Source organism: Homo sapiens, chromosome 10 (assembly GCF_000001405.40).
Source record: "Homo sapiens chromosome 10, GRCh38.p14 Primary Assembly".
NCBI lineage: Eukaryota > Metazoa > Chordata > Mammalia > Primates > Hominidae > Homo > Homo sapiens.
The window spans coordinates 18,360,842-18,380,983 of record NC_000010.11 but is presented as its reverse complement, the minus strand read 5'-3'; the positions used below and the strand labels follow the sequence as shown (position 1 = coordinate 18,380,983).

Below are 20,142 nucleotides of genomic sequence, written 5' to 3'. Positions count from 1 at the left end.
GAAGGGCATTACAGATTTCCGCACATAGGGGAAATATGCTAATTAATATAAGATCAAGATTGTATGAGGATCGCATGGTGAAAAGTCTACACATTTTCTTTAAAAGTAGGATCCCCCAGTTGGGATGTTATTTATCTCCTTTCCTATTCATCTTTTCTTTAATGCGCTGAAAAATTAAGAATATTATGATGCATCTTTCTCTAAACCTAACCTCAAAAATACATGTTTTGGCGGGGCGTGGTGGCTCATTCTTATAACCCCATCACTTTGGGAGGCTGAGGTGGGCAGATCACCTGAGCTCAGGAGTTCCAGACCAGCCTGGCCAACATGGTGAAACCCTGACTCTACTAAAAATAAAAATATTAGCTGGGCGTGGTGGCACGTGCCTATAGTCTCAGCTACTGGGGAGGCTGAGGCAGGAGAATCGCTTGAACCTAGGAGGCGGAGGTTACAGTGAACCGAGATTGCACCATTGCACTCCAGCCTGGGCAACAGAGCGAGACTCCATCTCAAAAAAAAAAAAAAAAAAAAGAAAAACACATGTTTCAAGTTAGCAATTTCTCATTTACTTTAGAAAGTAAAGAAGAATTTATTCTTAAAATAGTTCCTGACCCCTATGCAAAGAATGTACTTTGGTTCTCCTAGTTAGACTGTAATATTCAAGGGTTTTCAACCAATAAGACCTTTTAATTTTTATTTTTTTGCTAAGAAAAAACAAAATGAAAATGCCATTTGGTGGTTCAAAAAACATTTTAAAAATATTTTAAGAAGGAATGAGGAACACTGTTCATTCTTGAGATATGACCTTTAACCTGATTGAATTAAAACTAAAAATTTACATTGAAAAAACTTTTTAAGAATGTAAAGTTTCTGATAAATCTTGAAGACATTATGCAAACTGAGATAAGCCAGTCACAAAAGGGAACCTACTGTATAATTCCATGTATATGAAATCCCCAGTGTAGTCAAATTCATAGAAACAGAAGGTAGAATAGTGGGCCAGGTGTGGTGGCTCATAGCTGTAATCCCAGCACCTTGGGAGACCAAGACAGGAGGATTGCTTGAGCCCAGGAGTCTGAGACCAGCCTGTGTAACATGGTGAAATTCCGTCTCCACAGAAAATACAAAAATTAGCCAGGCGAGGTGGTGCATGCCTATAGTCCCAGCCACTTGGGAGGCTGAGATGGGATAATCGTTTGAGACTGGGAGGTTGAGGCTGTAGTGTGCTATGATCGCATCACTGCACTCCAAGCTTGGGTGACAGAGTGAAACCCTGTCCCCTTGTCCAGAAATGTAGAATGGTGGGTGCTGGGGCTGGGGAGTGGTGAGAATGGAGAGTTAGTGCTTAATGGGCACAGAGTTTCAGCCAGGAAAGACGAAAATGTTCTGGAAATGGGTAGTGGTGATGGTTGTACGACAATGTGATGGATTAGTGCTGTAGAACTGTACACTTAAAAGTGATTAAAATGGGGCCAGGCACAGTGGCTCATGCCTGTAATCCCAGCACTTTGGGAGACTGAGGCAGGCGGATCGCCTGCGGTCAGGAGTTCGAGACCAGCCTGGTCAACATGGTAAAACCATGTCTCTACCAAAAAATACAAAAATTAGCTGGGCATGGTGGTGAACGCCTGTTGTCCTAGCTACTAGGGAGCCTGAGGCACGAGAATCGCTTGAACCTGGGAGGCAGAGGTTGCAGTGAGCCAAGATCACACCGCTGCATTCCAGCCTGGATGACAGTGAGACCCCTGTCTCAAAACAAACAAAAAATAAATAAATAAAAATAAATAGAAGTGGTTAAAATGGCAAATTTTATATTATGTATGTTTTGCCACAATAAAATAATTTTTAAGAAAAGACAAAGCCAAATTTGATTTCAGGTGGAGAACTCAAGAGTAAGCCTCAAAATTTACAATAAAAAACTGACACACAGAAGAAATTCTCTCTAGTAAGCAAATGGATGCATTACAATAAAAGTCTGCTGGAAGAAAGCCCGGGTTCCTGGCTTTGGAACACTGGTCTGTGCTGTTGGCCCCCAGCACCTAGAACAGCCCTGGGCTGGCAGGCACTCAACTCAAATTTGTTCTAAGGAGTTGGGAGCAGAAAGAGGAAGGGAGGTAATTTTTGGTTTTAAAATTGAAGTTTATAATTCTGAAGAGCCCCTTTCAGAACCCCCTGACCTGTGAATGGCTGATTTAGGCATACTTAACCGTCAGGCCACCGTGGAGTCTATTTTCTATTTTTTGAGACAGGGTTTCCCCAGACTGGAGTGCAGTGGTGCCATCATAGCTCACTCCAGCCTTGGCCTTCTGGGCTGAACCGATCCTCCCACCTCGGCCTCCCGAGTAGCTGGGATCACAGACGCACACCACCACTCCTGTATAATTTCAAAAAATTATTTGTAGAAACAGGGTCTCACTATGTTGTTCAGGCTGGTCTCCAACTTCTGGGCTCAAGTGATCCCCCTGCCTTAGCCTCCCAAAGTTCTAAGATTACAGGCATGAACCACCATGCCCGGCCAACTGTGGAGTCTAATAATTACAGCTCTGATTAATTGACGTACATATTTTGTATAAAGCAATTAAATCTAGAGAAAGAAATTTTATAGGTGCTACAGAATTATAAAAAGCAGAGAATGTCAGGCTGTGTCAGTGTTTTTGGTAACAAATAATTTCAAGCACTAAAATACCCAATTAACACTCATTCAGAATGAAAATGTTGACATATCACCAAATACACTGTCATTGGTTGAGTATAATAATTCCAATGTGAAAACTGACAGGTTCCAAGCTGTGCATTCAGGTCTAGGGAGAAGTTTATTATAATTATCAGTTGCGTGTCCCTGTAATTCAACCTCTCAGGTTTCCTAGCCTCCAGGCCCACACCCCACCTCCCATGCAAACTCTTGATTAGATCATTTCCCTAATGATAATGCCTTCCCAACAAGCAGCTGAAGCAGAATGTTCCTGGCTCCTAATTAACATGAAGACAACGACCTTTCAAAACAGCCAAAAGAAAGAGTTCAAGGGCCCTGTGTCTATCATAATTATAATTTTACTCAGTTCCCAGGTCTGGGTAAAAATTTAAATGTAACATCTGAATAAAGGGAGCGAAGGTTAATGTTTGTGTTGGCAAGTCTAATTTTCAGAAACCTTAATAAAACAGCTTTCTACCAAGTGGCATCTGTAGCGCATTCCCAATTTTTATACCAGGCTTGTGGAGAAAGCATAACGTTTTTGCTGGTATAAAAATACCTTCCCCGCTCTAACCACACAGACTATATCAGAGATCAGCCAACTATAGCTCATGGGCCTAAGTTGATCCACTGCCTCTTTGTATGGTTCTTGAGCTAAGAATGATGTCCACATTTTTAAGTAGTTGAAATCAATCAAAAGAAGAAGAACATCTCATGTTGCGAAAATTACATGAAATTCAAATTTCAGTGTCCCTAAATACAATTTTATTGGAACATGGCCACACTTAGTCTTGTACGAATTGTTCATGGCTGCTTTTATGGAGAACTGAGTGGTTGCAACACAGATCTTATGGCCTCAAAGCCAAATATATTTACTACATGGCCCTTGACAGAAAAACTTTGTCAACCTCTGTATTACAGGATACACCAGACATAATATTATATAGCTCACAAGATGTCAATACACATATTGGTAATATTGGTATCAAGTCATTCCTTACTCCAATTCTTCTTTCTATAAACGTAATGGAGGAGTTTAACTTTAGAAGCCATCTATGTAGTACAAGAAATCTCCTCCCCTTCTCACATACCCACTAATTAAAATTATTTACACTTAAACTGGTATCTTAGAACGGGTGGTTTTTGGTTTTCTTTTTGCAGGTGTATATATTTATGTGGTACATGAGATATGTTGATACAGGCATGCAATATATAATAATCACTTCAGGGTAAATGGAATATCCCTTACCTCAAGTATTTATCCTTTGGGTTAAAAACAATTCAATTATGCTCTTTTAGTTATTTTAAAATTTACAATTAAATTATTATTGACAGAGCAGGAACATCGCCATCTTGGACAAGCCGCTCATTCTAAAGTTCACCGTAATCAAAAACTGCCTAAATCCAAAGGGCATCAGCCTAATGGCTAAGGTCAGCATGACTATAAACCAAATAACATCTCCCAGCAGAAACATTCCAAACTCCTCCCTGACCGGGGACATGCTAGCCCTGAGATAAACCCTCTGGGAAGATGCCAGCCTTAAGATAACCCTCCTCCGAGCTGGAAAGATGTCTGCCCCAAGATAACCTCCCCTCTAGGCAGAGATAGTCCAACCCCACCATAAAACTTCTCCCTCACACAGAAACATTCTAAGCTTGTGATAAGCCTCCTCACCCTAAAACCACTCTAAGCCTGTAAGAGAAAGTGCTCCTGACCAAAATTGGCCAGAAGCCCCTCTCAAGTTTATTTTATCTAAAATAATTCTCTCTTTAACTGTCCAGCCACATTTTGTGTTTCTTTCCTCTTTCATTAACTCTTACAATTATTGGCTATAGTCATCCTGTTGTGCTACCAAAGACTAGGTGTTATTCATTCTAACTATTTTTTGGTACCCATTAACCATCCCCTTGTCCCCCAATGCCTGCCCCTACCACAACCTTTCCCAGTCTCTGGTACATGCTTCTACTCTCTATCTCCATGAATTCAATTGTTTTAATTTTTAGCTTCACACAAATAAGTGGAAGCTAGAACATGAGAAATTTGTCTTTCTGTGCCTAGTTTATTTCATTTAACATAACGACCTCAAGTTTCATCCATATTGCTGCAAAGGACAGAAACTGATTTTTTATGGCTGAATAGTACTCCACTGTGTAAATGTACCACATTTTCTTTATCCATTCATCTGCTGATGGACATTTAAGATGCTGCCAAATCCTGGCTACTGTGAATAGTGCTGCAATAAACATGGGAGTGCAAATATCTCTCCCAAATACTAATTCCCTTTCTTTTGGGTATATATCCAGAAATTGGATTGCTAGATCATATGGTAGCTTTATTTTTAGTTTTTTGAGCAACCTCCATCTGTTCTCTATAGTGGTTAGTAAAGGTGGTTTTTAATCCAGTGATTAAATCCAGTTACCTCAACTGATGTAAAAATATTTCTGTTGTCCAAATCTATGTCAAAGGTATTTGGAGGCAATTTCCTGGTGGTTTTCAGCGTATCAACAAACTGGTAACATTGAACCATCCTTCAACTGTAGACACAGGCAATACCATTTGTTCAGGCATTTGCTCTCTGGGCTTCAGATGTATGAATAAACATGCTCAGGCCTACGATTATCAGAGATGTCACTCAGAGAATGGGCTCCTGCACAACCCCAATAAGGGTCCTAGAAAAATTAAATTTTCAATTGCTTGCTAGAAGTATTTTTGTGACAAATATTGCCTTCTATTTCCCGGTTTTAAGGAACAAGAGGCTACTCAGGGAAAATAAATACAAAGGTCTTCATCAATTAAAAGCTACTTTTTCTAGTTTAAATGGCCTGACATTTTCCCAATGCATAGGTCTGAAAGCTCAATCCAAAGAGTAAATACTACCTCTCAGAAGACTTAGAAAATGATGAATTTAACAACAGACTTCATCCCCATTAGCACATTGAGATTATCTTTATCTTAATAAAGATACATGTATCTTTTTCCCTATGGCATTGGTGCAGGATTGGGAGGGAGAAGTCATAGGACAAAATAAAAGAGAAGAAGACACTTGGACACATTCACCTCCCAATTATTTTTTATTTTTTGAGACAGGGTCTTGCTCTGTTGCTCAGGCTGAGTGCAGTGGTATGATCATGGCTCACTGTAGCCTCAACCTCCTGGGCTCAAGCAATCTTCCTGCCTCCCGAGTAGCTGGGACCACAGGTGTGTGCCACCACTCTTGGCTAATTTTTTAAATTTTTGTAGAGATGGGGTCTTGCCATGTTGCCGTGTGCATTTTCAAGTTTTAACAAACAGAGAAAGTAGAACTTTCTCCTTAGGCTAAATCTTAGGGACACAGGCTTTTGCTTTTACTAAAGTACCCTGTCTTTAGGGGGTAGTCTGACAAATACTAAATCTGAGAGTCTAGGGGCTACTGGACAAATTACATTACAGTTCTAAGGCTGAGTTTCTTTATCTGAAAACTGGGAAGGAGGCTGTACCCTATGCATAGAGCTGATGCTAAGTAACACATTAAGGACAGTGGGTGTGCATAAGGAAAGTGGCATTTAGTGCTACATTGTGATTCTGCTGTTGCACAGGACATGAAATGCTACATACATCATGCAGAGTGTTGAACTACTGTGGAGAATACAAAAAGCCTATCTAGGTGACAAAGGACTTCAAAAGATTATTCAGATTACACCACCTTAGCCTTGACTAATTTCTTTTAAATTTTCTATTTTTTAAAAAATAAAGACAGGGTCTCACTATACTGCCCAGTCTGGTCTTAAACTTCTGGGCTCAAGCTATCCTCCTGCCTCAGCCTCCCAAAGTGCTGGGATTATAGGCATGAGCCACTGTACCCGGCCTTGCCTTGACTAATTTGATATTGCCTCTGGTTCAGCTCTCAGGTCACCTGTTCCCCTTTATACTCATCACAGGGGACACCTCTCTTTCTTATTAATTCAGGATCAATCCCTCTCTCTTCGGCCTTTGAAAGGTGATCTTGTGATTCCATTTTTCCCTCTGGTCTACTTGGCATCTCTTCATCCACTGACTTTCTCCTAAGCCTTCCCTGTTCTGGAAACTTCAGAGGCAACACCTCATGTTCAAATCTTTTCTTGCTCATCCAGTGCTCTGGTTATAGCTTTGTGAATCATCTCTGCAGGCTTTTCCACCTCAATCAAAACAGTACTTTATGTCTTTAATCACTGTATAGCTTCTTCTTCCTCTACCATTCTATCTATCCCTGATATGCTGTTAATTATAATATTTTTTCTCTAAATCAGTACAGTGTTACAATGCAATATGGGAGTGTGAAAGAGGGAGGCTAATTTATTTATTTTGTTTACATTTGCTTCTATTCCTCTACACAAGTCTTCAAGATTTCCTCCCACACTGTATTCTCTGTTTTTACATCTTAACTTTGTTTTGGAAGTGTGGAAATCAGTATTGTCTTGGAGAGAGAACCGGTACAAGCACCAATGTCTTCAGTAGAGATCTACTGGATAAATACTTCCCCCAAAGCAAATCACATAGCAACTGCATTAATAATTCTAACATCTTATGCATTAACTAAATATAAATCAAAAAAATACTAATGAAAAATCTGAAGGAACATCTAGGCTAACCTCAAAGGCTTGAGAGAACAAATGAGAAATTGTGAGGGTGACTTCATGGGAGGAACAGAGTAAAGCAATGAAGAGGCTTGGATTTTGCAGTTGGCTGGCCCAAGCTTGAATTCTGGTTCTACCTCTTATGAACTATGTGATCTTGGGCACATTTTTCAAACTCATTAAGCCTCGAATTCCTCATCTGTAAATTTTGCATATAAAAACATTGTTTGGAATAATATATGTACATCACTTAATATAATGCCTTACCATAAATATTCAATAAATAATAGCTGCTATCATCATGGTGGGTTGAAGGCCCTTAAGGAAAGCTGTCCTACCTTGTTTGGGAGACCAAAATATAGCAGTAGAATCAATAACAAATCAGCATTGAGTTCAGAGCAGCAGAAAGCAGTGCCTGGATTTCATAAAGGTTTAATAAATCCCTGCTGAGTGAATGAATGAAAGGAGAGGGGTAAGTTTCTGCCTCTAACACAGATAATAGGAACCCTCAAAAAGAGGCTTCTTTACAACCTCCTGACAGTGCAGCCTGAGGTGAGTTCTGCTAGTCTTTAGGGAAATATGGGGCTGGGTGCTGTGGCTCACACCTGTAATCCTAGCACTGTGGGAGGCCATGGTGGGAGAATCGCTTGAGGCCACGAGTTTCAGACCTGCCTGGGCAACATAGTGAGACTCCATTCCTACAAAAAATAAAATAAAAAAAATAAGCTGGGTGTGGTGACTCACACTTGTAGTCTCAGCTACTCAACTGAGAAAGTGGACAAAAGTCATACCAAGGACTAAGAGTAATAGTAGCTAAGAATTTATTCAGCACCTGCTGTTCCCAGTATGTGAAATATACTAACTCATTTGGTCTTCAGCGACCTTACAAAGCAACTTAAGATGAAGACAGTAAAGTGCAGATAGTTTAAATAACTTATCCAAGGACACATAAATGAGGAAGAAGGAAATATGGCTTAAAAATATGAAAACAGCGCTAGGCACAGTGGCTCATATCTGTAATCCCAGCACTTTGGGAGGCGAAGGCGGGTGGATGACCTGAGGTCAGAAGTTCAAGGCCAGCCTGGTCAACATGGTGAAACCCTGTCTCTACTAAAAATACAAAAATTAGCCAGGCATAGTGGCGGACATCTGTAATCCCAGTTACTTGGTAGGCTGAAGCAGGAGAATCACTTGAACCTGGGAGGCAGAGGTTGCAGTGAGCCGAGATACTCCGTTGCACTCTAGCCTGGGTGACAACAGTGAAACTCCATCTCAAAATAAAAGTAAAAATGAAACTGGACCCCTTCCTTATACCTTATACAAAAACTAATTCAAGATGGATTAAAAACTTACATGTTAGACCTAAAACCATAAAAACCCTAGAAGAAAACCTAGGCAATACCATTCAGGACATAGGCATGGGCAAGGACTTCATGTCTAAAACACCAAAAGCAATGGCAACAAAAGCCAAAATTGACAAATGGGATCCAGTTCAACTAAAGACCTTCTGCACAGCAAAAGAAACTACCATCAGAGTGAACAGGCAACCTACAGAATGGGAGAAAATTTTTGCAATCTACTCATCTGACAAAGGTCTAATATCCAGAATCTACAAAGAACTCAAACAAATTTACAAGAAAAAAACAAACAACCCCATCAACAAGTGGGCGAAGGATATGAACAGACACTTCTCAAAAGAAGACATTTATGCAGGCAAAAGACACATGAAAAAATGCTCATCATCACTGGCCATCAGAGAAATGCAAATCAAAACCACAATGAGATACCATCTCACACCAGTTAGAATGAGGATCATTAAAAAGTCAGGAAACAACAAGTGCTGGAGAGGATGTGGAGAAATAGGAACACTTTTACACTGTTGGTGGGACTGTAAACTAGTTCAACCATTATGGAAGTCAGCGTGGTGATTCCTCAGGGATCTAGAACTAGAAATACCATTTGACCCAGCCATCCCATTACTGGGTATATACCCAAAGGATTATAAATCATGCTGCTATAAAGACACATGCACATGTATGTTTATTGTGGCACTATTCACAATAGCAAAGACTTGGAACCAACCCAAATGTCCAACAATGATAGACTGGATTAAGAAAATGTGGCACATATACACCATAGAATACTATGCAGCCATAAAAAAGTTCATGTCCTTTGTAGGGACATGGATGAAGCTGGAAACCATCATTCTCAGCAAACTATCGCAAGGACAAAAAAACCAAACACCACATGTTCTCACTCATAGGTGGGAATTGAACAATGAGAACACATGGACACAGGAAGGGGAACATCACACACCGGGGCCCGTTGTGGGGTCGGGGAAAGGGGGGAGGGATAGCATTAGGAGATATACCTAATGTTAAATGACAAGTTAATGGGTGCAGCACACCAACATGGCACATGTATACATATGTAACAAACCTGCACGTTGTGTACATGTACCCTAAAACTTAAAGTATAATTAAAAAAAACAAAATAAAAACAGTAAACTTAACAGTAATCAGAAATATGCACATGTTTAAGAATGAGATAATATTTTTGTCTATCAAATAACTATTTTTAAATAATAGTAATACAGTGGAACTCAAACATTGCTGGCTGTTGGAAGTCTAAATTTAGTATAACCTTTCTGAAAAGCAGTGTATGAATACATATTACTCTTTTAAAAGTAAATACTCAGTAATTATCTTTTTCTGGAATCTTTGTGAAAGAAAAAGATGCACGTAAAATATTTAGGTAAGAGAATGTTCACCATGTGACATATACATGTGTACCTATCTATATTTACATATCGAGATATAGATGTTGAAATATATACACATATGTGTGTATCTATACAAATATGTGCCTGCGTGTATGTGTAAAACAACCTAAATGCCCAACAATGGGAGAAAGTTTAATTATAAAGAGTACTTTAAAAATTATGATATGTAAGCTTGGATTACTTTTTTAATGCCTAAAGAATGATGGAAATTTTAAGTAAGCATGAGCTCTACAAGGCTGCTCCCCAGCCCTATGAGGACTTCTAAATGGTAATGAGTTTATTAATTCACCTGGGGTTCTTGTTAAGATGTGGGTTCTGGCCAGGTGCAATGGCTCATGCCAGTAATCCCAGCACTTTGAAAGGCCAAGGTGGGAGGATCACTTAAGTCTAGGAGTTCGAGACCAGCCTGGCCAACATGGCGAAACCCTGTCTCTACTAAAAATACAAAACAATTAGCCGGGCATGGTGGTGCATGTCTGTGGTTCCAGCTACTGGGGAGGCTGAGGCAAGAGAACCACTTGAATCCAGGAGGCGGAAGCTGCAGTGAGCCTACCCAGATAGTGCCCCTGTACTCTAGCCTGGGTGACAGAGCAAGACTCTACCTCAAAAAAACAAATGAAAAAAGATGTGGTTTCTGAGACTGCATTCCTAACAAGCTCCACGGTAATGCCGGCACTCCTGGTGCAGGGAGCACATTTTGTACAGAAAGGAGTCTAGTAGAAGCCACAAGTGTGGCTATTTAAATGTAACTCAATATTCAATTGTTTAGTTGCCACATTTCAAGTGCTCAATAACCAGGCAGGGCTAGTGGCAACCATATTGGACAGTGCAGATATAAACATTGCCATTATCAGAGAAACTTCTATTGGACAGTGTTGACTAGTGCATGCCAAAAGCAGGACAAAAGACTTCCAGAACTGGGAGGTTGGCAGGTCATTTATCAGTGGGCTCACTTATTATTTTCTGAACAGAAAAGAGATATATCTTGTCCCTTTTTATTTTGATTTTTTGAGACAGAGTCTTGCTCTGTTGCCAAGGGTGGAGTGCAATGGCATGATCTCGGCTCTCTGCAACCTCTGCCTCCCAGGTTCAAGTGATTCTCCTGCCTCAGCCTCCTGAGTAGCTGGGACTACAGGTATGTGCCACCACGCCTGGCTAATTTTTGTATTTTTAGTAGAGACAGGGTTTCATCATGTTGGCCAGGCTGGTCTTGAACTCCTGATCTCAGGTGATCTGCCTGCCTGGGCCTCCCAAAGTGCTGGGATTACAGGTGTGAAACCCCATGCTCGACCCTCTTATCCCTTTTGTCCACTAATGGCCCAGTTCCACCCTCTAACAAGACACAATAAGGAAATATATCTTCTTAAATAAAGTAGTCCTTTCAAAGGCAGCCTATTTTTATGTTTCTTATTGATGCATGTTTCTTCTTAAAAATAAGACCACATCACTGACCTTAGGGGAAAATAATGATTTTTACCTTCCCACAAAAATAAAAATCCTGATGTGAATGCATTAAAAAGATCAAGGTTTAGACTACTGCCACCTATACTACAGCAAAGTACAGGATATTTTAAATATTCAAAAATAATGACAAATCCACAAAAAATTATTAGTAGCACAAACAATATTTGATTCACGGGGAGAAAAACAGAACTAAAAGAAATGAAAAAGTAATTTTTAAATTTGATAGCTTAATTGTAATTTAAATAGTACGCCTCTGGCAAATTTTACTGTAAGACTTAGAAGAATTACCAGAGGCAATTTTTAAAACAGTTATGTAGACCTCATTTTAAGGAATAAACACACTCAAATTTATGTCCTAATACTCTGATCTGGTTTACAGGGCTTTTAAACATTTGAATACTTAACAAAAGAAAAATTTCAAATTTGATCTCAATAACCAGAATGACCTAAGTTAATGAATTTACAGTGATGTTAAATTACCAGTACATTTCAAATGAACACCAGATCCTTTAAGTTCTTGTTGTCACGTGCAGACTGGTTCTCTCTCTTTTTTTTTAAATAGAGTGACTCATGCTGTAACTGTTTAACATGATTACATACTTTAAATATTTTTTCTTCATTATAGAGCATATGGTTTCTGAAATTATGTAAAAAAGACACAAATTATTCATGAAAAACTGGCTTTTGTGCATAATCATATATAACAGGTGTATATTTTAAACACATGAGGGTTAATTAATGAATGTTTGTATTCCTAAAATACTCCTTCAAGTACATTCTAGGAAATAATTTCTGTATACATTTACATTCTTTTATTAAAAAAATAACAAAACCTGGAACTCATTTTCAGGAATGCTTTCCCTAAAATGTTAACACCATTCCTCAAAATACTTTTTTCCTTTTTGGTAGCATATGCTTAAATGCAACTCTTAAATAGTTTGAAAATTCTGTATGAGCCACATGTGATGCAGGCAATAAAAATAGAGAGCAAGGCCTAAATATTGGATGCATTTCTGCATTACTTGTTTCGTAGAAGTTTTCTCTGTGTTATTCTGAAAGCTTATAATTTTGCAATCACTTTCAGTTCCTGGGAACACTGGAATGGAGTCATATCCTACTCTTTTGAAAGTTTTTTTCCATATTGCCAGTGACCCGAGGGCGAAAAACAAGAGACAGAAGTGGGTCTTTGGAAAAATAATGCCCATATTAGTAGAAATGACCATTTTGAAATTTACAATGAAAACTTTTAACTCTCAGAATGGAATTATAGCTATTGTTCATAATCTTACTCCAAAGATTGAAATAAAGACACCAAATTAGGAGCTGTGCGATTTCAACTTGCTGTGTTTACAGGAGAGAGCTCAGTTGCTTTTCAAGAAATTTCTTTCCTCCTGGCCATATGACAAAAAGTGAAATAATCTCATTCTACTGTACCCCCAAACGCACCTAAAAAGGGAATTTCGTTTTCAGTAGAATATGACCAGACGGCCAAAATATATTCTTTAACATAGGTTCGTTTCTTAACAGTCAAACTTAGAATTCTTAAGTCTTTCTAAAATCAAATTAAATTACATCACAATTCAATAAGATATTAAGGAAGCAGAAACATAATTATTAAATTTGAATTGAATTATATACTATTTCAAAGAAGTATATGGTTTAATATAGCTTTCTACAATTTCAAAAATGTATCCCTAACTCTTAAAGTTTAGCTTCATCTTTTATTTGCATACAAGGAACAGGTGACTACATTTACTGTCTGTTTTGCTATGTGTATTGATAAATGTGAATTTTTACATAATTTTATGTCTTGAGAACAATACAGAATCCTAATTAGTTATATACTCTTAATTTAAATACTTTTTTAAACATTTAAGAGAAACATTTCTTACAGTGAGGTTTCACTAACAGTTTACTAAGTATTTACAAATCATCCAAAGTTTTATAACATATACAATTCTCAATTCAATTACTTTTAACTATATTTAACAGATATAATTTCACTAGGAAATCAAGTTTTTTAAAAAAGAATGTAAACTGTCTATAGTTACACTTATAAAACCTTTTAAAAATACCTTTTCAGAAGACGTGTGAAGATATTGAAAACTATTTAAAATCCAAGTTCAAGCACAAAAAATAATTCCGCATATAACAAAATAATATAATTATAAAATGTGTTCATTTCAAACTTTGTCCCAAAGTATTTCAACATTTGTGCTAGTCCCTAAGGGAAAAAAAAAAAATACTATTTGTTTTATATTACTGTTAGTGACAACAAGCACTTTAGTGGAAAGTTTAAAAACAAACTTGGAAATGGTTAAAAAAATGATGAAAAATGTCAGATGTCAATGGGTATATGTTTCTTACCACTTCAGAAGGCTCATCGTCATCGTAGTACATGTTTCGTACACACCTCGAAGTAAATTCTCAGCATGTCCGCTAAGAAATCCTTTCATAGGAAGTTCAAGTGCATTATGACAGTGATACAGTTTCCACAGCTGGAATATAGTGATACTAGTTTCCCACGCTTGGCAATGCTCTTAAAATAGGCTCTCAGACACCAAAAGACAAAAAATGACTATTTGTAAGCACTTCAGGAAATGATGCTCTGGCAAACTGACTGAAAATTCCATAAACAGCCAAAATCAGCTTTTTTTTTTTGAGACGGAGTCTCGCTTTGTTGCCCAGGCTGGAGTGTGCGGTGGCACAATGTCCGCTCGCTGCAACCTCTGCCTCCCGAGTTCAAGTGATTTCCGGCTAATTTTTATATTTTTAGAGACGGGGTTTCACCATGTTGGCCAGGCTGGTCTTGAACTCCTGACCTTAAGTGATTCACCCACCTCAGCCTCCCAAAGTGCTGGGATTACAGGCGTGAGCCACTCTGCCCAGCCCAAAATCAGTCTTCGATGGACTATATTAATTGATTATTAAAAGCAAAATAAACCAAAGAAAGTGCTGGGCCAGGATAATTTTTTTTTTTTTTTTTTTGAGACGGAGTCTCACTCTGTCGCCCAGGCTGGAGTGCAGTGGCGCGATCTTGGCTTACTGCAAGCTCCGCCTCCCGGGTTCGTACCATTCTCCTGCCTCAGCCTCCTGAGGAGCTAGGATTACAGGTGCCCGCCACCACGCCCGGCTAATTTTTTGTATTTTTAGTAGAGACGGGGTTTCACCGTGTTAGCCAGGATGGTCTCGAATTCCTGACCTCGTGATCCGCCCGCCTCGGCCTCCCAAAGTGCTGGGATTACAGGCGTGAGCCACCGCCCTCAGCGAGAATTTCATTCAAGTTTCTGTTTATTTACATGACCCAGACCTAGATGTGGAAAGGCTCCTACATTTGAAAGGTAGAACCAGCCAACATTCCAGTGAGCCAGGTAGATGGGAAAAGAACCCTAATGAACCAGAATGAAATAAGCAAGACTTATTTCTTGTTTATTTAAATGGGTAGAATGGTTTTCTATGAATTTGAAGGGAATGTGAGTGTTTGTGAGAAGTGAGAGGGCTCAGAAACTTCCTGGAATTCCTACCCTCCACAGGCCAAATTGACAGATTCTTACATCCTCAACAAAGATAGTTCTATACATTTCTTTTCTTTCTTGATCTGAGTTTCCTTCACATTGTGAATAATTTGTGTGAGAAAGTATTCACTGAAATCAATGAATGGTTAATACTATACTGTTCTCCAAATAAGGAATAATGGAGGCTCTCTTTTTCAACATTCAGGTAGTATACACTAAGCATGTTGCACTATTCTGTCCCAACGTTATAATCCAGAGAAAATATTTCAGCAAAATATTTAATTTTCCTTCAGCCTCTTAAAAAATAACAATAACCTTGCCAAACATCCTTGTAGTACAAGGACAGGATTTCTGCCCAGAAAGCCATCATGTTTTAATTAGAAATAATTTAAACAAATCCTGGAGAAGCTTATGAGGTTGTATAGATTAAAATACAGTAATGCCCAAAAGAAGCCCAAACTTGGGTGGCATTTGGAATAAAACATGAAGGCAAACTGAATGTAAGAGTCCAAATCGCTTTTATTTGTAAATAATTGGCCGTCACCAAATAACTGTCAAATATGGATGAAGAAAGGTTGAAAATTAAAAAGAGGCCTTAAAGAATCTCTATATTGTCCTCTCATATTCTGATGAGAATGTCAAGGCCAGAGGGGTAAATAACTCGTTCAAAGCCAATCAGCTTGATTGCATGCTGAAAACAAACTAACTCCCAGATGGTGCCCTTAACCAAACTCAGGGGCAGGAAACACAATACAGTGGTTAGCAAAAAATGAGACAAGAGTAAGTTGAACTCAGGAAATGGTCTTAACTATCAACTCAGTCAGTAATTAACTCTGAGGTCCAAGACAAGTGCCTTAACTTCTCTAGACATCTGCTTTCATCCTTAACCCAAGTAGATTGGATTAGATTAATTTATACACCTCTTTCTACTACTAACATTCCAAAATTCTGTGCCTACAAATAAAACAGCACTTGAAAAAAATGCTATCCTAAGTGCAAGAGAAATTGTATGGACTTCTGGATTTTATGATAATTCTTTAATCTCCGATCACTTTTAAACCCTATTATACATACTAACAAGAAAGTAAGCTAAAGAATAATGAAGGAAGAAATATCGCATGGAAAATGACATTTTGGCAGAAAGAGGAAGATTGGGAATGAAGATGAAAGATATCTAAAGCAAGGAGAGGAAAGTAAATTGATACACACAAAAGAAACGGTGGCAACAAATGCACGTCAGAGGTAACAGATGTAGAACAGGCAGGAGATGAAAGAAGAGGGTGAGAAATGTAGAAAGAAAGAGAAGACAAGACCAGAAGAAAAAAATTAAACTGCCTTGGCTGGGCGAAGTGGCTCATGCCTGTAATCTCAGCACTTTGGGAGGCCAAGGTGGGTGGATCACTTGAGGTCAGGAGTTCGAGACCAGCCTGGCTAACATGGTAAAACCCATCTCTATTGAAACCACAAAAATTAGCCAGGCGTGGTGTTGCGTGCCTGTAATCCCAGCTACTCAGGAGGCTGAGGCTGGAGAATTGCTAGAACCCGGAAGACGGAAGTTACAATGAGCCGAGATCTTGCCACTGCACTCCAGCCTGGGTGACAGAGCAAGACTCTATCTCCCAGAAAAAAAAAAAAAATTAGTTAAAAATCCATAACAAATATTGCTATAGAAAACGCATGTAGAAGGCAGGCACCGCGGCTCATGCCTGTAATCCCAGCACTTTGAGAGGCTGAGGTGGGTGGATCACCTGATCACCTGAGGTCAGGAGTTCAAGACCAGCCTGGCCAAAGTGGCAAAACCCCATCTCCACTGAAAATACAAAATCAACTGGGTGTGGTAGCAGGCGCCTGTAATCCCAACTACTCAGGAGGCAAGGCTGGAGAATCACTTGAACCCGGGAGGCGGAGGTTTCAGTGAGCTTAGATTGTGCCATTGTACTCCAGCCTAGGCAACGAGCAAAACATCATCTAAAAAAAAAAAAAAAAAATTAAACTGCCTTCAAGACCCTACTATTCGCAACAGCATTAATAAAAATATTGCCAGTATTAACATTTTTAAAGCAGTTTATGATATAGAATGCACTTATCCAAAATGATCTGTTTTTAAACCAAACCTATTTGATTGGTATAACTATCCTTACTATTTAAAGAAAAAAAAAAAAGAACTGATTTCCAGAGAGGTTAGGTGCCATACCAAGTGTCACACAGCTATAATGAGTATGTTAGACAAAGACCTGAATTCAGACCCTCTGGCTCAGACACTTCCTTTGGCCACATTGTCTAGTCATATACATATTTTAAACATGCTATTAAATACTAGCTTTGAACTGCTAGCTTTGAGCTTACTAGAATAGAAGACTGAAGGGAATGGAAGGTACTGGTAGTTTCATGCTGAACCTTCAGAGAGTGCACACTCTTTGAAAGCATAAGACAGACATGTCAAGAAATAACCAGCACAACAAATACCATATGGCACTGAGGATCAGAGGATGAAGCTTCCATGGGGAACAGAGAAGGCCCCATGGGGCGACAGGATTTCAACCAGGAAGAAAGCGGGGGTGACTGGGTACAAGACATCCTCAAGTGAGTAGACGTGCTGCTTGGTGCTTGTACAGAAACCATAGGTGTTATGTCTGAAAAGCCAAGCCTGAGCCATCCATCCTGTTGAGAGCCTGGAACGCCAGGCTAATACTTTTGAAATTGATCTTGTAAATAATGAGCCATCCCAGATTTTAACACAAGGGGCTGGGATGTCAAAATCTTTATTTAGGAAACCTATTTTACTGTTCATGGGAAGAAAAGCTGGTTAGGAGCTTCTGAGATGTGTGAGCAGAGAAGATGGGGGAGAGGCAACATGTGACTATGACAGAGAGGAGAGACAGGTGGATAAACTGTCTTCAACACAGACAATCAGCTTTTGCTCACAGGTAGAGCCAATTAGCCCAGAGTTAATGAAGTCACTTAATGAAGACCTGGTCTAACATTCTACTTGCATTTCCTTTTCCTTCTTTTGTTTTTCTGTTTTTTTTTAAACAGAGTTTCACTCTGTCGCCCACGCTGGAGTGCAGTGTCAGCGATCTCAGCTCACTGCAACCTCCACCTGCCGGGTTCAAGTGATTCTCTCTCCTCAGCCTCCCAAGTAGCTGGGACTACAGGCATGTGCCACCATTTTTGTACATTTTTGGTAGAGACGGGTTTTCACCATGTTGGCCAGGCTGGTCTCAAATTCCTGACCTCCCGAAGTGCTGGAATTACAGGCGTGAGCCACGGCGCCCAGCCTCTACATGCATTTTCTATGGCAATATTTGTTATGGACTTTTAACACGTTATGGACTTAAAAAATTGATCACCCACTTCGCAGGTTATCATTTTTGCTATTTTTCTTATACTTAAAAGATTTTAAGTCAATTCACCTATGGTGACTTCTGTGTCCATTCTCTAAAATGACAAAAATAGAATACTAATATAATCACTTGGGGGAAAAAAACAAGGAGGAAACAGTAATCACACAATGTAAAGAATTAGAAAAAACTAGTCAAATTTTCATAAATTTTACAAATATCTATTGCTCCTAACAAAACATTTTGAAGAGAGGATCTTTAGAAAACCCTTAATAGCTATAACTGAAACAAAATTCATCATGACTTTTTAGAAATACAAATTAAGTTGAAAATGTTTTAATAAGCATGTTTAAGAAGTCCTTAACAAGAAAAACAATATGGCTGAAAAGAATAGGATGTATGCATGTATACAAAAACACTCGAAAGAGGCTTCAATCATTAGGTGAACCACTGCTAGATAAACTGAGTGTTAATTGTTAAACAAATTGTCTTATATCTGCTACCCATTGGGAAGCTGAGGCAGGAGGATTGCTTGAGCCCAGGAGCTTGAGATCAGCCTGGGCGACATGGGAAAACCTCATCCCTACAAAATATAAAAAATATAAAAAAATGTGTAGCAGTAATAATATGGAAGTTAGAAACAGGGGTTGGTTTTGGGAAACAGCAATTAAGAATGCTACCTTAGGCTGGGTGTGGTGGCTCACGCCTGTAATCCCAGCACTTTGGGAGGTAGAGGCGGGCAGATTGCTTGAGGTCAGGAGTTCAAGACCAGCCTGGCCTAGGTAGTGAAACCCCATCTCTACTAAAAATACAAAAATTTGCCAGGCATGATGGCATGCACCTGTAATCCCCGCTATTCAGGAGGCTGAGATGGGAGAATCACTTGACCCGGAAGGTGGAAGTTTCAGTGAGCTGAGATCATGCCACTTGCACTCCAGCCGGAGCAATAGAGCAAGACTATGTTTCGAAAAAAAAAAAAAAAAAGAATTTTACCTTAGACAGGATAACAGTAATATAACAACCGTGGAGAAATGTATGATAAGCAATTGGACTTATATGACTGGAATTGTTTTTTCTTTCTTTCTTTTTTTTTTTTTTGAGATAGAGTCTTGCTTTGTTGCCCAGGCTGGAGTGCAGTGGTGCGATCTTGGCTCACTGCAACCTCCACCTCCTGGATTCAAGCGATTCTCCAGCCTCAGCCTCCCAAGTTGCTGGGACTTCAAGCATGCACCATCATGCACAGCTATTTTTTTTTTTTTTTTAATTTTTTGTAGAGACAGGGCTTCATTAAGTTGCCAGCTGGTCTTGGACTCCTGGGCTCAAGCGATCCTTCCACCTCAGCCTCCCCAGTTGCTGGGATTACAGGTGGAATTTTTGAAAAGTCTACTTTAGGATGGCTACATAAAGGTAATGGATGAGCCCGGGAAGTAGAGGAGAATGCTAAGACACAGATGCTCCAAGCAGATAAAAGAATAAAGAGAGTTTAAGATAAAACTTAAGGGAACACACACATTTAGTAGATGGGGGAAAAGTCAGAGAAGAATGAGAGGTCATGCTCAGAGAAGTAGGAGGCAGGAAAAAAACCACAATGAGATGAAGGAGGGATGAACAATGAACAGAAAAGAAAGGTCAGCAGGAATTTGAATTGTGGACAAAACCTCTTGGCTTTGATGATTAGGAAGGCATTCATGCTTCTTCCCACAGTGAGTAGGGAATATCACTGGTTTTGCAGCTAAGGATAGGGGAAAGGACATA

At 39.2% G+C, this 20,142-nt stretch overlaps 1 protein-coding gene across 12 annotated transcripts in view; it reads right to left on the bottom strand.

Annotated features, from left to right (window-relative positions):
- CACNB2 (calcium voltage-gated channel auxiliary subunit beta 2) overlaps positions 1–20,142 on the bottom strand; it is a 403,134-nt gene that overhangs the window by 162,574 nt on the left and 220,418 nt on the right. The window contains exon 1 of one of the 12 annotated variants that reach the window (XM_006717502.4): positions 13,899–14,224. The exons of the other annotated variants lie outside the window; for them this stretch is intronic. Coding sequence (XP_006717565.1) covers positions 13,899–13,931 — 33 coding nt within the window. The 5' untranslated portion in view covers positions 13,932–14,224. Of the gene's footprint in view, positions 1–13,898; positions 14,225–20,142 lie in introns of those variants that run through there. 12 annotated transcript variants of the gene reach the window in all.